General features: G+C 42.6%; 1 protein-coding gene across 3 annotated transcripts in view; it reads left to right on the top strand.

Annotated features, from left to right (window-relative positions):
- The window catches only part of TRPC5 (transient receptor potential cation channel subfamily C member 5), a 314766-nt gene that overhangs the window by 69877 nt on the left and 229417 nt on the right, over positions 1-15472 (top strand). Inside the window, exon 2 of one of the 3 annotated variants that reach the window (XM_017029774.2) lies at positions 7287-7409. The exons of the other annotated variants lie outside the window; for them this stretch is intronic. The gene's annotated coding sequence lies outside the window, so the exon portion shown is untranslated. The remainder of the gene's footprint in view (positions 1-7286; positions 7410-15472) is intronic. 3 annotated transcript variants of the gene reach the window in all.

The following is a 15472-nucleotide window of genomic DNA, read 5'->3' as shown; positions in this document are numbered from 1 at the left end:
GGAGTAGCTGGGAAACATTATGCACAAATAACTGGGGCAAGCTGCTTGTGTTCATTAGGATCGTAGAACTGGAGGAACCCCTCAATAACCTTTAAACTTTTGAAGGTGAAAAGTATTAGCAAAGGGTCAAGAAAAACCCTACATACAGATTAACAGGAAGAAATGCAAATAGTGAAAAGAGCTAGGGCGATGGAAAGAGGCCAGACCCAGATTCAAATCCCTGCTCCACAGTAACTGTGTGAACTCAGACATGCCATTTAGCATCTCTAAGCCACAGACTCATCTGTGAAGAGGAGATAATAACACCTGCCTCATAAGGCTGTTCTGAGCATTAAGTAGAACAATGGACTACATAAGAGCCCAGTAAAGACACACCCCCATCCCACCAAGCTGAAATGCTCCATCAATTAGAGATGATGTTATTATTCTGAATTGCCTTTGCATGTGAAAGCAAAGAGAATTGTGAGATCCTGGCTGCCTGCAACTTCATCAAAAAAAAGAAAAAGAAAAAGAAAAGAAAAGAAAAAAAAAGAGACTTGACAAGAACCTGCTGCCTACTCTGTACAGGATATTGTGAGGCATAGCCAAGAAATGGTAGGTGGAATCACACCGAACTGCAGTATTTGACCATTTTACCGACAAACCCACCAATGTTATGTGGTTCAACCTAAGATAGGAGGCTGTCCCTTATTTTATATAAAGTCTGATCCTGTCAGGAAATGATTGATGCCCAGGAAAACAATATCAATCCCCAAATGTCTACCCAAGTCCTAAGTTGAATATACAGTAGACCCCGTTATCCATGGTTTCTCTTTCTGTGGTTACAGTTAGCTGTAGTTAATGGAAGTCTGAAAATACGTGAGTACAGTAAGATATTTTGAGAGAACATTTACATAACTTTCATGACAGTATGTGTAATAATTGTTCCATTTTATTTTTGATTACTGTTGTTAACCTCTTACTGTCCCTAATTTATAAGCTTTGTCATACGTATATATGTATAGGAAAAAACATAATGCTGTATACATGAAGTTTGATACTATCTGCAGTTTCAGGCATCCACTGGGGTCTTGGAACATATCCCTCCAGGGTACTGTAAAGCAAAATGTGCAGTGCAGGGAGGCAGCTGGTGACCCTAGAGGTAGCAAATGCTCTATTTTGGCTTAGTGAATGAACGGACTCACCACTATTTTGATATCAAAATAGCCACCTTTTAGCCACCCACCTGACCCCACTCTTTTCTTTCTCAGTCATGGATATGAGGGCAGTGGAACACTGAGCCCCTGCTGCAGAAGCCCTAGCATGCCAAAGCCCCCCACTGGGGAGCCTCCCAGTTCCAGGCAAAGGAATTCAGCACAGCCAAAGCAAGGTTGAGATGAATAACTGGATTTACTCCTTGAGATCCCGGGAGCCTCCAACGGGAACAGGCTGTTTCATAGGGCCAGTCTCAGCTGATAAGAGGCAGCAAATGACTCTTTCCAAGTCACAGTCATTATGATGCCTGTAACCTTTTTATTATAAAAATATATGCATATCCCGCAGAACCCTACTTACTTGCGCTTTCTTGGATGGCTGCTAGGTTTCACACACGCCAGATTAGATACATTCTGACTTGTTCAGGCACTGTCAGTTTAGGTCCTTTCCTCCTGGAAGCAACAAAACCAGGCAAAGAGATTAATAAGGTCCACTACATATAAGGAGAAATTGGGGGGCACTTTCTTAGCCAGAGGTTGCTCAAAGACAGCCCCATCCCAGTTGATGAACCAGTCTACCATGTACATGGTGTCTAGCTGATCCTTTTTTCCCCCTACACAGCCTGCTCAGACATAGCCTGTATTTTACCCTTGTCAAATGGGGGAGGGTAGCATGTCCCTTCTGCAGAGGATTAAAACCACACAGTTTCCAGCCTGGACACTGCTCATGCTCTCCCCTGAGGGAAGTGGGTAGTTTTCTGGCTGGCCCTCTCACAGGCAGGAAGTTTGGCTGCCATACATCCTCGGTTTCACATTTACTTAACAAACAATTATGTAACAGTTTCCATGTGCCAGGCACTAGTCTAGCCACTACACACATATCAACTCATTTATTATCCTCATAAGAACCCTGAGAAGTACAGTCACATGCTGCATAATGAAATTTCAGTCAAGGATAGACCACATATATGGCGTTGGTCACATAAGACTATAATGGAGCTGCCTTATACAGACATACCATTTTTTATCATTTATATCATTTATCATTTTTATTATATATAAATTATATTGTGTATAAATGATATTGTGTGTTAGATACACAAATACTTCCCATTGTGTTACAATCGCCTACAATATTCAGTACAGTAACATACTGTACAGGTTTGTAGCCTAGGAGCAATAGACCATAACACATAGCCTAGGTTCCTAGTAGGCTATACCCTCTAGGTTTCTATGAGTACACACTATGATGTTCACACAATGAAAAAATTTCTTAAGGAGACATTTCTCAGAACATATCCCTGTCATTAAGAAATGCATGGCTGTACGTACAGTTATTAAGCCCATTTTACAGATGAGAAGTCTGAGGCAGAGAAAGATGAAGTAACTTGCCCAAGGTCACAGAGCTGCTAAGTGGGAGAGCTAGGATTTGACCAGGCTACGATTTGAGCTGGTAAGTGGGAAAGCTGTAATTATCTCCCCTTCACAGATGAATCTGTGGCTTAGAGATGCTAAATGGCATGTCTAAGTTCACACAGCTACTGTGGAGCAGGGATTTAAATCTGGGTCTTTCCTCTTTCCGTTGCCCTAGCTCTTTTCACTATTGCATTTCTTCCTGATAATCTGTATGTAGGGTTTTTCTTGACCCTAGCTCCAGAGTTTGTTCTCTAAACTACTAGAGTATCCTACCTCTTGAAGTACGATTTTTTTTATTATACTTTAAGTTCTAGGGTACATGTGCACAACGTGCAGGTTTGTTACATATGTATACATGTGCCATGTTGGTGTGCTGCACCCATTAACTCGTCGTTTACATTAGGTATATCTCCTAATGCTATCCCTCCCTGCTCCACCCACCCCACAACAGGCCCCGGTGTGTGATGCTCCCCTTCCTGTGTCCAAGTGTTCTCATTGTTCGATTCCCACCTATGAGTGAGAACATGCAGTGTTTTTAAGGGATAGGTAGAGGCAGAGGGAAGGGCAGAGGCTCTACCCACAGATGCAGCCACTTTCACCAGGTCTTGAATTGAGAGGCACTAAAGACTTCTGCTCTAAAATGGTTTTCCCTTGCCTTTATGCGTCAGAGTTCATGCTGTGCTCCCTCTTCTGAGGCATCCAAGGTCCTCACTTAATTATGAATAAAACTTGGCAGGAACAGTACAGTTATCATTGGTCATTAACACCCAGACCCAAAGCATGTTATCACATTCAAAGTCAGGCAGACTTCTGAGAATCTGGGTCCCTGAAGAGGCAAGTTGTGAAGATGAGGAAGAGAGTTTAAGAAAGGTCTATGGCTGTCAAAGCTGCCTAGGAGAGAAAGGCCTGAGGATGATCATGATGAAGATACCCGAAGCAGCCTAAGGGATTTTATGAAAATATTGGGTGCCTCAGCAGCAAGACCCTACAGGAGGAAATAAGACTACACTGAAAACAGACTTTACTCCTTCCCGGTTTGGCCCCCGCAATCTCGATTCATAAACTACACCCAACTCAAACGTGACACATGGCAGCTAGGTTCTCTTCTGCAGTGGCAGAGGATCCCAGGTTAATAAAGAAGGCCCGTGGTTAGGCAAGTGTCCAAACTCACACTTGTCCTCTTCTTGGCTGTGTCAAAGATACAGTCCTCAGTGAAGCCTGTCCCTAGCTCCCCCACGCTAGGGCAGCATTTGAGAAAACAAAGCAACATTAAAGCATCCAGGTCAGAAGGCACAAGAAAACCCTCACATGGTCTGGATAAGCCAGGGTTATTGACTGTGGCAGTGACAGGCAGATCCTCTCAGACGGTTACAACCCAGATTCCCAGCTGGTTGTGGTTGCACAGCCCACACACTCTAACGACTCAGCTTCTCTCAATATGATTAAGATTATGATTAATCTTTCATTTATCAAACATTTGATATGTGCCAGGCACTGTTATTAGTGTTTTACATGTATGAACTCATTTACTCTTCACAATTATGTTATTACGTAGTTATTATTATGCCTAGAAAAACTGATGCTCTGAAAAATAGCAGGCCAGAGGTCACACAGCTACAAAGTGGAAAATTGGGGTCTTTCTCTCCTCTGTCTCAAAAGTCACCTTCTCTCTATATTTTTTTTTTTTTTTTGAGACAGAGTCTTGCTTTGTCACCCAGGCTGGAGTGCAGTGGCGTAATCTTGGCTCACTGCAAGCTCCACCTCCCGGGTTCACACCATTCTCCTGCCTCAGCCTCCCAAGTAGCTGGGACTACAGGCACCCACCACCGCACCTGGCTAATTTTTTTTTTCTTTTGTATTTTTAGTAGAGATGGGGTTTCACTGTGTTAGCCAGGATGGTCTCGATCTCCTGACCTCGTGATCCACCTGCCTTGGCCTCCCAAAGTGCTGGGATTACAGGCATGAGCCACCGCGCCCAGCCATCACCTTCTCTATTTCTAAAATACAATAAGGTTCATACAAAAGGAGGTGATTTCTGCATGAGGCTCTATTGGTCTTTTATCTCTCATCAAGGACCCAGCAGCTTGGGGATCAAGGAGGAAGTTGGCCAAGGCCACTCACATCATCCACCAAGGCACTAATCTCCTCACTTATGTCCAAGCCAGGCTCTTCTTATGAGAGGAACTAATCTATGAGCATGTGTTTGGTGGGTTTCACCTTGGATATAGTGGAGGGCTACTTTCTTTGTAGGGTGCTATTTAGAGTATAGCTGGACACTTTACAAGACAGGAGACAAACAGGGAATGGCCAGCAGGATGTACGGTGGCTATGTGATGAAATTCCTCTCCCCTTAACTCCCCCTACCACCCATATGGTTAGCCCATAATTGGTAAACTCCGCCATTCTGGTCCTTTAATATGGAACTACCCTACCACTGGTCAACAAGCAGACTTGCCAGGCTGTGCTGGGACTGAAACCTCTCTTATTCTTCTGGGTCCAGTCAGTCCCTTTATCAGAGTGACCTGGATGGAGAGCAAGGGCATCTGCTTTGGAGCCATTTAAAGGCTCCTAGAGTACCTCTGTGTCCTAAGGGGCAGATTAGAAAGAACAGGGCCAAGGAAGTGCTGAGAATATAGGGGAGACTAGAAGTCAAGGTAATGAATGACTCTGTTATGCCGGCCTACCACAGTGTACCTGGAATGATCTTCAGGATCTGCACAAACCCTTAGGTGTGGAGGGAGGGAGAATTGATTGCTGTGTGCTCTGTAACTGAAGCCCATGTAGGAACTCCCTTTATAGTCCAAAGAAAGCATATTGAAGGAAAGCTTACTTGTCCTGGCTCTGGCTCCCTGAAACAAACTAAAAAAATCTCTTAAATCTCTCTTCTCACAGGGAGGAAACAAAACATAGTTTCATGGCAAAGCAAGAGACCATGTCACTTAAGGGACAGTATCCCATGTGAAATAGTAACATCCATACTCATCTAAACACCAAGTATGCAGATGGAACTGAGTAGGTTTCCAAAGCAAATTTATCAATTTCTCCTTCAGATTAGCTCCCCTTCCAGTCCTTCCATTCAGTCATCCAGACTCAATCTCAGAGTTTTCACTGAAGTTGGGAGGTGAGAGAGGAATGTTCATCAAAACCTATTGATTCTACTTTTCCATCCTATTATTCCTAGCCTCACCACCACCACCCCAGTCCTAGACCTTATCTATGCCACTCCACCCCCACTCCACCCCACCTCCCTATACTGGATACCTTCTTGACTGCCTTCCTATCTTCAGGACTAGCTTCATAGTCATGCTATCTGAGCAGGCTCATAGGTACTCACACTTGGTTTAATGCTCTGCTGTTACCACCTTGAAAGTCCTAATTTTTTTTTCTTTAACAAGGAGCCCTGCAATTTCATTTTGCACTGGGCCCTGCAAATTATGTAGCCACTCCTGCCTGTTTCTCCCCATCTGGACCCATCTTACACATAGTGTTTATTGCCAGAGTTTGTTTGCTAATGCCAATAATAATGCATCTAATGGCTCTCCGATGCCTCCAGAATCAAACCCAAACCTCGCAGCCTGGTCTTCAAGGCCCTCTGTTACCTGGCCTCCATCTAATTTCCCATACATCCCATATAAATTCTACTCATTCCAGAATGGAGGATGGTTTTACTATTAACAACTTCAGCAGAATGATTAACAGCTGTGGAGTCTGACTGTGGAGTCAGACCCAGTTGAGGGGCCTGGTTCTACACTTGTTAGCTGTATGACTTTGGGCAAATTCCGTAGCCTCTCTGAACCTCAGTTTCCTCATCTGTAAAAAAGAGATACCAACAGTGCCTATCTCATAAGGTCAATATAAGAATTAAATGATATAATCAATAGAAATAAGTCTCTAAGCATAGTATCTGGCCGGCCCTTAGTAAACACTAAATAAGTATTAGTTACTAATATTATTTGTTGTAATTGTTACAAAGCTGAGTAGTTCTAAAAGTCACTATGCCTAATGCCTATCTAATTGGCCATATTGCTGGCTGGATTTCAGGTAACTCACAGTGACCTGCCATGGCCCTCTACTTCCCTTTCATGTACCTCTCAACCACCATCCTCTGGATGGAGATGATTATAATTTGCATGTTGTTGAGCTGTGTTCACCACCTCCCTCTTTTTGCTCTCTGCTAGTGTGGGAGCAACTTGATGGGCCAGCAGAAGCTGCAGAGGCAGACATGGAGAGGAAGCAGCACATTTGCCAACTGGGTTTCAGAGGGAAGCAGCTCTGGGAACTGACGTTCAGGCTTTGACCAACCCCTGCCCCCCGCCGCCACCTTCCCCCTGCCAAGATCTGTCCATTCTCCTGGGAACCCATGGTCGGCCTTGGGGGATACATAGAGATTTTGGATGAGATTTGTCCAGGCATCTGCATGAAACAGCTCCGGGACAGTTCCCTCTATCATATCAGGTCAATTTCAAATTTGCAGCAAAGGTTCATCCTGAGCTGCTGAAGTAATTCACAAAGTAGTCACAGAAGTGGCTCACCCTATATAAAGACTAAGGACCCCAGCTTAAGCTTTTTGCATGGGTCCTTTGCCACACCCCAGCTGTGGTGAGGAAAACAGCTCCCAGCAGGGTCACTCCCAGTTCCTTCCCATCCATTTACAGATGTGCTTTATACTTCTCTTAGAACAGGGATCCTCAACTCCGGCTGCACTTTAGAGTCACCTGCAGAACTTCTGAAACATACCAATGTTGGGCCACCAGTAAGACTAATTAAATCTGAATGTCTGGGAGAGGGACCCTGGAGTTGGTAAGATATTTTTTTTTTTTTTTTTTTACTTTTAGGTTCAGTTTCAGGGGTACATGTGCAAGTTTGTGACACAGGTAAACTTGTGTCACAGGGGTTTGTTATACAGATTATTTCGTCACCCAGGTATTAGGCCTAGTACCCATTATTTTTCCTGATCTTCTCCCTCCCCACCTCCATCCTCCAGAAGGCCCCAGTATGTGTTATTCCCCTCTATGTGTCCATGTGTTCTCATCATTTAGCTCCCACTCATAAGTGAAAACATGTGGTATTTGGTTTTCTGCTCCTGTGTCAGTCTGCTAAGGATAATGGCTTCCAGCTCTATCCATGTCCCTGCAAAGGACATGATCGCATTCTTTTTTTATGACTGCTGGGTACGTACCCAAAGAAATGGAAATCATTCTATCATAAAGACACATGCACGCAGATGTTCATTGTAGTAAAATTCACGATAGCAATGACATGAAGCTGGTAACATTGACAAACTCCTGAAGTGATTCTAATGTGTGGCCAGGACAGAGAACAAGACTATATGAGAAATGTAGCTTCTTAACCAATTTCCTGGTGTCCATGTTGTTCTCCCCCTTGAACCTATGTCACTTATTACTTGAAATGTAAAGTTCAAGAAACCTCCAATATGACCCTGTTTATTTTTTGCCGCCCCTACCCATGCACTCTACCCTCCAGCCACACCTGGTTCTTTCCCAGTCCACAGACACAACACCTATATTAATCTCATTGAAATGTTGCTCACACTGTTTCCCTGACTTAGAATACCCCCACTACTTTTCCAAAAGCAGTGGTTTTCAAATGTGAGTGTGCCTCAGAATTTCCTGGAGGGCTTGCTGAAATACAACTTGCTGGGATCCATCTCAGAGTGTCTGATTTAGAAGGTCTAATATGGACCTGAGATTTGACCTGCTAACAAATTCCCAAGTGATGCTGCTGGGCAAAAGATCACATTGTGCTGCTCTCTCCTCAAGTTTCCAAATGGCCTCTTGCAAATTGATAGTGTGGTTCCAGGAAGAAATGACTCTAGTGGGATCTGCCCTTGGCAAACTTTGGGGAAGAACAGGATTGCCTTCAGCATTCTTCTATCTCACTTCATTACCTCCTAATTGCCACCCTCCTACTTCCAAGCACTCAAGGTTTTCACACTGGTTACTACTTGTTCAAAATGCTCCACAGCAAGCATTCTTGTGTTCCAGCCAGACTCTTATGCCCTCCGGTCTCCATACTCTACTAAGATGTTCTGTTGATAATATAACAACAGAACATACAGATAACTCTATGGTTAATTAAGTGCAACATGGACTCTGGGGTCAAACAGGTCTGGTGGACTTGTGGATCCACCACTTCTCTGCTGCATAGCACTGCAAAATCACTAAGCTTCCCTGAGGCTACATTTCTTCATCTGTAATATGAGGATGTCATGCATAGTTTGCAGGGTAATTATGAGGAATAACATAAAATAATGTATGTAAAGAACAAACCTGCCATATGTTAAGCATTCAATAAATAGTTGCTATTACAAATGCATTAAAACTTTACTATTAGTAACTGGTGAGAGATTGCCTAGGTAGCCGTTGCATTTTAACAACAACCTTCTTAGTGAGGATCTCTGGGGAAACCCTCCATTTTTGCACTGTTGCCAGAATGATCTTTTCAGAATATAAATTGAATCACTTTGTCCCTCTGCTTAAACTTTTTCTCATTGCTCCCCTCTTGCTTGTAGAATAAAACCCTAAATCCTTAAATGACTTATATGCCCCCATATTCAGTGGTTCTTAACTGGGGAGTATTTGGAAGTTTGGGGACATTTTGGTTGTCATAAATACCAAGGGGGGCAGTATTACCATTTAGTGTGCAGGGACCAGGACACTAAACCTCCTACAACCTTGCATATGCAAACCAGCACTCCCCACCCCTATGGAAAACTGTCTCACCCCAAAGCCAATGGCACTCACATTAAGAAACACCCGAGTCAAACTCTCTAGCCTCACCTCCTATCACTTCCTTGCTCTGTGTACTCCAGCCACCCTGGCCTTGCTTTTAGTCCTCCACAGCACCTTGGACATTCTGTTCTTTCTACTTGGAAAGCAGTTCTTTTCTGATGGATCATTTAACTCCTACTGACCCTTCAAATCTCAGCTTAAGTGATATTGCTTCATGGAGGCCATAATTCACTCCCCATTATAGTATATACCTCCTTAGAACTGTATTCCTTGCCTTCAGAATATTTATCTTCGTTTATAATTGTGTACTCTGTAATGTTTTTTGAATTATTTGATTAATGTTTGCCTCACACATAAGACCACAAATTCCAAGAAAGCAAGCATCACGTCTGTTTTTGCTCACCATTATATACGCAATACCTAGCCCAATGCTTGGCTAGCAGTAGGTACTCACTCTCTCTCTGAGAAATGAATACCCACATAAGCAGCCCCTAGTCTTAATCAAGTCTCCAGGGAGAGGGGGCAGTTATTAACATGCTCTGCTCTTAGAGGTCTTAGAACAACTGGCTCCTACTGAACTCTTTGAGGTAGGAGGGGGACCTAGATAGAGTAGAAAAGTGCTTCCATGTAATTATTCTGTTTGCATTCAAGCTTATTAGAATGCAATGGTTGGTCACAATGTTTATGTTTCCAATTTCTACACGTAGACATTCTGATTGATTGCTTGCTCCCAATCCTAAATATATTAAAACAAATGAAAGATTGTTTAAAGCATGTTGTGTATTTACTTTTTGATGCTTCTAAGACATGCGGGGTACCTGTCCAATTTTTGTCAAATTTGAAAAATACCCTGTCAAGAGTCCAACAGTCTTGGAACATGGTACTACATGTGATAGAGCTACTTATACCTCAACTCTCTAGTGAATTCTGCATTAAAAATCAAGACAATAGGCTGCTTCAGCTCTAAGTAGCTTGGAGTTGGTTTGTTTGTATGTTTAATGCCATAGTCCAGGCAATAAGAAAGAACGAGAAAAAGAAAGAGCAGGAGTATGTGTTTGGTGCATAAAAGAAATGCTGATTCTAGCTGGGTGTGGTGGATCAGGTCTGTAGTCCCAGCTACTCAGTAGGAGACTGAGTCTGGAGGATCACTTGAGCTCAGGAGTTTGAGACCAGCCTGGGCAACACAGTGAGACCCTGTATGCCCCACCCCCCAAAAAAATGCTGATTCTGTTCCAGTGTGACTAGAACCCAGTAAGCAAAGGGGAAGGTAATCGAAGATGAAGTCATAGACGTAGCTAAGACCAGGTCAGTGAAAATTTTTGTCCATTCCTGTGAGTAGGCTGGGAGCCATGGGATGGTTTTGAGCAGAGGAGCAGTGTGATCTAACTTGTTTTGAAAACAGATCACTTTCAGTACTGTTTGAAGAAAAAAATGTGTGGAGGAGGGGTGATGTGTGAGCAGGTTGCAGGGTATAAAGGACAGAAGCAGCCAGGCCAGTTAGGAGACTATTGTGATAATTCAGGTGAAAGGAGATGGAAATTATTGACCAGATGGTAGCAGAGAAGGCAGTAAAACCTGATTGGATCTTAGATATATTTTGAAAGTAGAACGTGACGTGCGAGAGAAAAGAAATCAAGGATTCATTTTTTATTCAACAAATATTTACTGAACACCTACTATGTGCCAAGTACTGTTTTATGTGCTTAGGATATAGCAGTGAACAAAACAAACAAAAATCTCCATCTAATTTGAGTTCACTTTTTGTTTTGTTTTGTTTTCAGTCAGAGTCTTGGTCTGTTGCCCAGGCTGGAGTGCAGTGGCAGGATCTTGGCTCACTGCAACCTCCGACTCCCAGGTTCAAGTGATTCTCATGTCTCACCCTCCCAAATAGCTGGGATTACAAGCGTGCACCAACATGCCTGGCTAATTTTTAGTATTGTTAGTAGAGACGAGGTTTTGCCGTGTTGGCCAGGCTGGTCTCGAACTCCTAGCCTCAAGTGATCTGCCCAGCTCGGCCTCCCAAAGTGCTAGGAATACAGGTGTGAGTCCCTGCACCTTGTCTGAGCTTACTTTTTAATCAATAATAGATAACATGTTTTGAGCACTTCCTGTGTTCCAAGCACTTTGCATTCTTAACTTATGTAATTCTCACTACAACCCAATAATGTATGTGTGTATGGTATTACCTCCATTTCTCAGCTGAGGAAACTAAGGCACAGAGAGGCAAGTTTCTTGAGGTCTCACAGCTGATAAGTAGTGAAGCTGTGTTTCCAACCCAGGAAATTATGCTTGAGAGTCTGAGTTCAAAGCACTTCATTCTACTGCCTCTTTACCAGGCCAGTATTCCCACAACAGGAGCAAAGCTGGACCACCTGGGTGAAAACTAGGGATCTAACTGCTAGATGACTCAAAGTTTTTTGGCCTGAAAAACTGCAAGAATGTACTTGACATTTACAAGAGCTTGATTCTGAATATAAATTGGTAGCCTGGGCACAGAAAGATTTGGGCCAGTGAGTACTCTCTAAAATGTCCAATATTATTTGACACAAAAATGTTGTGTCATAGCACCATGTAAGTGTTAGCTCTAATTATCCACTAGAATGGTTAAGTGGCATTCAAAAGGGCAGAATTTATCAGGCTTGCTGAGACTCTGACACACTGCCAGGCAAATCAGGAGGCTTTGGTCAGTGAAATCGCCCTAGGATTCTTTCACAGAAATCTACCATCAAATGTGGTAGAAATATATGGGAACAAAAGTGATAAGGAAACCTGAGATTAGGAGATATACTGATAGAAATTGCTTGCATTTTTGTTAGGTGCTTACCATGTTGTAGGTATCTACATGTTGTAGGACAGGATGTACCTATCCTAAGTGTTGGCAATGTATTACATCATCTAATCGTCGCAACAACCCTAGGAAGAAGATATTAGTATTTCCATGTATAAAACTGGGGGTCTGAAAGGTTTGGTGACATGCCCAGGCTCTCCTAGCTCAAATGTGGTAGCAGTGGGACGCAAACACACATCTGTTTGACTCCAAAGCCCACGCTGCTCCCCAGGAGGTTAAATTCTCCTGCTGTGCTCCCCAGTGAACCCTGTCCAGATCATCTACTCACCTATATTTGAATTGTTTCTAACACTTAAATTTGTACTTCTTTGTATATTTCTGTACGTGCTTTGGTACCATCTCATTCAAACGTATGTTCCTTCTCTCCCATTTATTTTATAAGCTCACTGAGGTTGGGGCCCTGATTTGCTTATCTTGCTACTTTCCAGTGGTGTTACTTATGGGCATCTCCCCACAAGTGAGTGTCTAATAAAGGTTGCTGATTGACTGCAATAAACTGTTTTAGAAATCTGCTGGTGATTCTAAATCTGGTATGCTTTCATCCAAGACAAGATTAATATCACAGTGGCAGGTAAAATAATAGCTGCCATTTCTTTAAGATTTAATTTGTCCTAAACAACTATACCGTGCAAAGTGCTTCCTGTGCATTATCTCATTTAACCCTGAAAATATGAGTCAGATACTCTAATTGCTTTTTAAATTTTTATTATTATTACTATTATTTTGAGACGGAGTGTTGCTCTGTCACCCAGGCTGGAGTGCAGTGGTGCGATCTCGGGTCACGGCAACCTCCGACTCCCAGGTTGAAGCAATTTTCCTGCCTCAGCCGCCTGAGTAGCTGGGATCACAGGTGTGTACCACCATGCCCAGCTAATTTTTGTATTTTTAGTAGAGACGGGGTTTTGCCATGTTGGCCAGGCTGGTCTCGAACTCCTGACCTCAGGTGATCCGCCCACCTCGGCCTCCCAAAGTACCGGGATTACAGGCGTGAGCCACCGTGCCTGGCCAGATACTCTAATTACAATTCCCCTATTTCATGATCTAGCAGTCCCACTGCTGGGTACATACCAAAAAGAAAGGAAATCAGTATATCAAATAGATACTGCACTCCCATGTTTACTGCAGCCCCATTCACAATAGTCAAGGTATGGAGTCAATCTAAGTGCTCATCAACAGATGAGTGGACAAAGAAAATATGGTACATATACACAAAGGAATGCTCTTCAGCCATGAAAAAGAATGAAATCCTGTCATTTGCAGCAACATGGATAGAACTGGAGGGCATTATGTTAAGCGAAATAAGCCAGGCACAGAAAGACAGATATCCCATGTTCTCACTCATACGTGGGAGTAAAAAAAAAATTCATCTCATGGAGGTAGTGAGTAAAATAGTGTTTCCAAGAGGCTAGAAAGGGCAGGGGGGACTAGGGTGTGTGGAGAGGTTGGTGAACACATACAAAACTACAGTTAGATAGAAGGAATAATAACTTATAGTGTTACTGCATGTTCTCACTCATAAGTGGGAGTTGAACAATGAGAACACATGGACACAGAGAGGGGAACATCACACACTGGGAACTGTCAGGGGTTGGGGCACAAGGGGAGGGAGAGCTTTAGGACAAATACCTAATGTATGTGGGGCATAAAACCTAGATGGTGGGTTGATAGGTGCAGCAAACCACCATGGCACATGTATACCTAGGTAAAAAACTTGCATGTTCTGCACATGTATCCCAGAACTTAAAGTAAAATAAAATAAAATAAATAACTTATAGTGTTCAATAGCACTGTCAGGAGACTATATATAATTAACAATTCATTGTACAATTAACCCTTGATTTTTTTCCAACCAAACTCAGACTGAACATACGTTCATCCATTGGTATGCATGGGGAGTTGGTTCCAGTATGTTCACATGTACCAAAATCCACACATGCTGAAGTCCTGAAGCTGGCCCTGTGGAACCCCATATTTAAAAAGTGCAGGTTTTGTATCCTGTGAATACTGTATTTCTGACCCATGATTGGTTGGAAAAAAAATGTGTGTATAAGTGGACCCATGCAGTTCAAACCCATATTGTTAATGAGTCAACTGTACAGTATTTGAGAATCCGTGGATACAGAGGGCTGACTTTTTGTATCTGTGGGTTTGGCAGGGCTGACTGCAGACAGAAGGATGTTTGGATTTTGGAATACAAGGGTCCTGGAACCAACCCTTCACATATACTGAAGTATGACTATATATTTTTAAATAGCTGGAAGAGAATATATACAGCATTCCCAACATAAAGAAATGATAAGTTTGAGGTGGTAGATATCCCAATTGCCTTGATTTTATTATTAGACATTGTATACATATATCAAAATATCACATGTACCCCATAAACATACATATAAATAAATATGTCCAACTATTATGTATCAATTAAAAATTAAAAATAATTTTAGATGGCTAATTAGGAACAGCTCTGGTCTGCAGCTCCCAGCATGATTGACACAGAAGATGGATGATTTCTGCATTTCAAACTGAGGTCATCAGGATCAAAGACCAAAGGTAGATAAAACCACAAAGATGGGGAGAGACCAGAGCAGAAAAGCTGAAAATTCTAAAAATCAGAGTGCCTCTTCTCCTCCAAAGGATTGCAGCTCCTAGCCAGCAACAGAACAGAGCTGGACAGAGAATGACTTCGATGAGTTGACAGAAGTAGGATTCAGAAGGTCAGTAATAACAAACTACTCTGAGCTAAAGGAGGATGTTTGAACCCATTGCAAGGAAGCTAAAAACTTTGAAAAAAGATTAGACAAATGGCTAACTAGAATAAACAGTGTAGAGAAGACCTTAAATGACCTGATGGAGCTGAAAACCATGGCATGAGAACTTCGTGACGCATGCACAAGCTTCAATATCCGATTCGATCAAGTGGAAGAAGGGGTATCAGTGATTGAAGACCAAATTAATGAAATAAAGCAAGCAGACAAGGTTAGAGACAAAAGAGTAAAAAGAAATGAACAAAGCCTCCAAGAAATATGGGACAACGTGAAAAGACCAAATCTATGTTTGATTGGTGTACCTAAAAGTGATGGGAACAATGGAACCAAGTTGGCAAACACTCTTCAGGATATTATCCAGGAGAACTTCCCCCAACCTAGCAAGGCCGGCCAACATTCAAATTCAGGAAATCCAGAGAACACCACAAAGATACTCCTTGAGAAGAGCAACCCCAAGACATATAATTGTCAGATTCACCAAGGTTGAAAAGTGTT

The sequence above is a fragment of the Homo sapiens genome, chromosome X, assembly GCF_000001405.40.
Source record: "Homo sapiens chromosome X, GRCh38.p14 Primary Assembly".
Classification (NCBI taxonomy): Eukaryota; Metazoa; Chordata; class Mammalia; order Primates; family Hominidae; genus Homo; species Homo sapiens.
The sequence above is the reverse complement of the archived record's forward strand: the minus strand, read 5'-3'. Positions and strand labels throughout refer to the sequence as shown.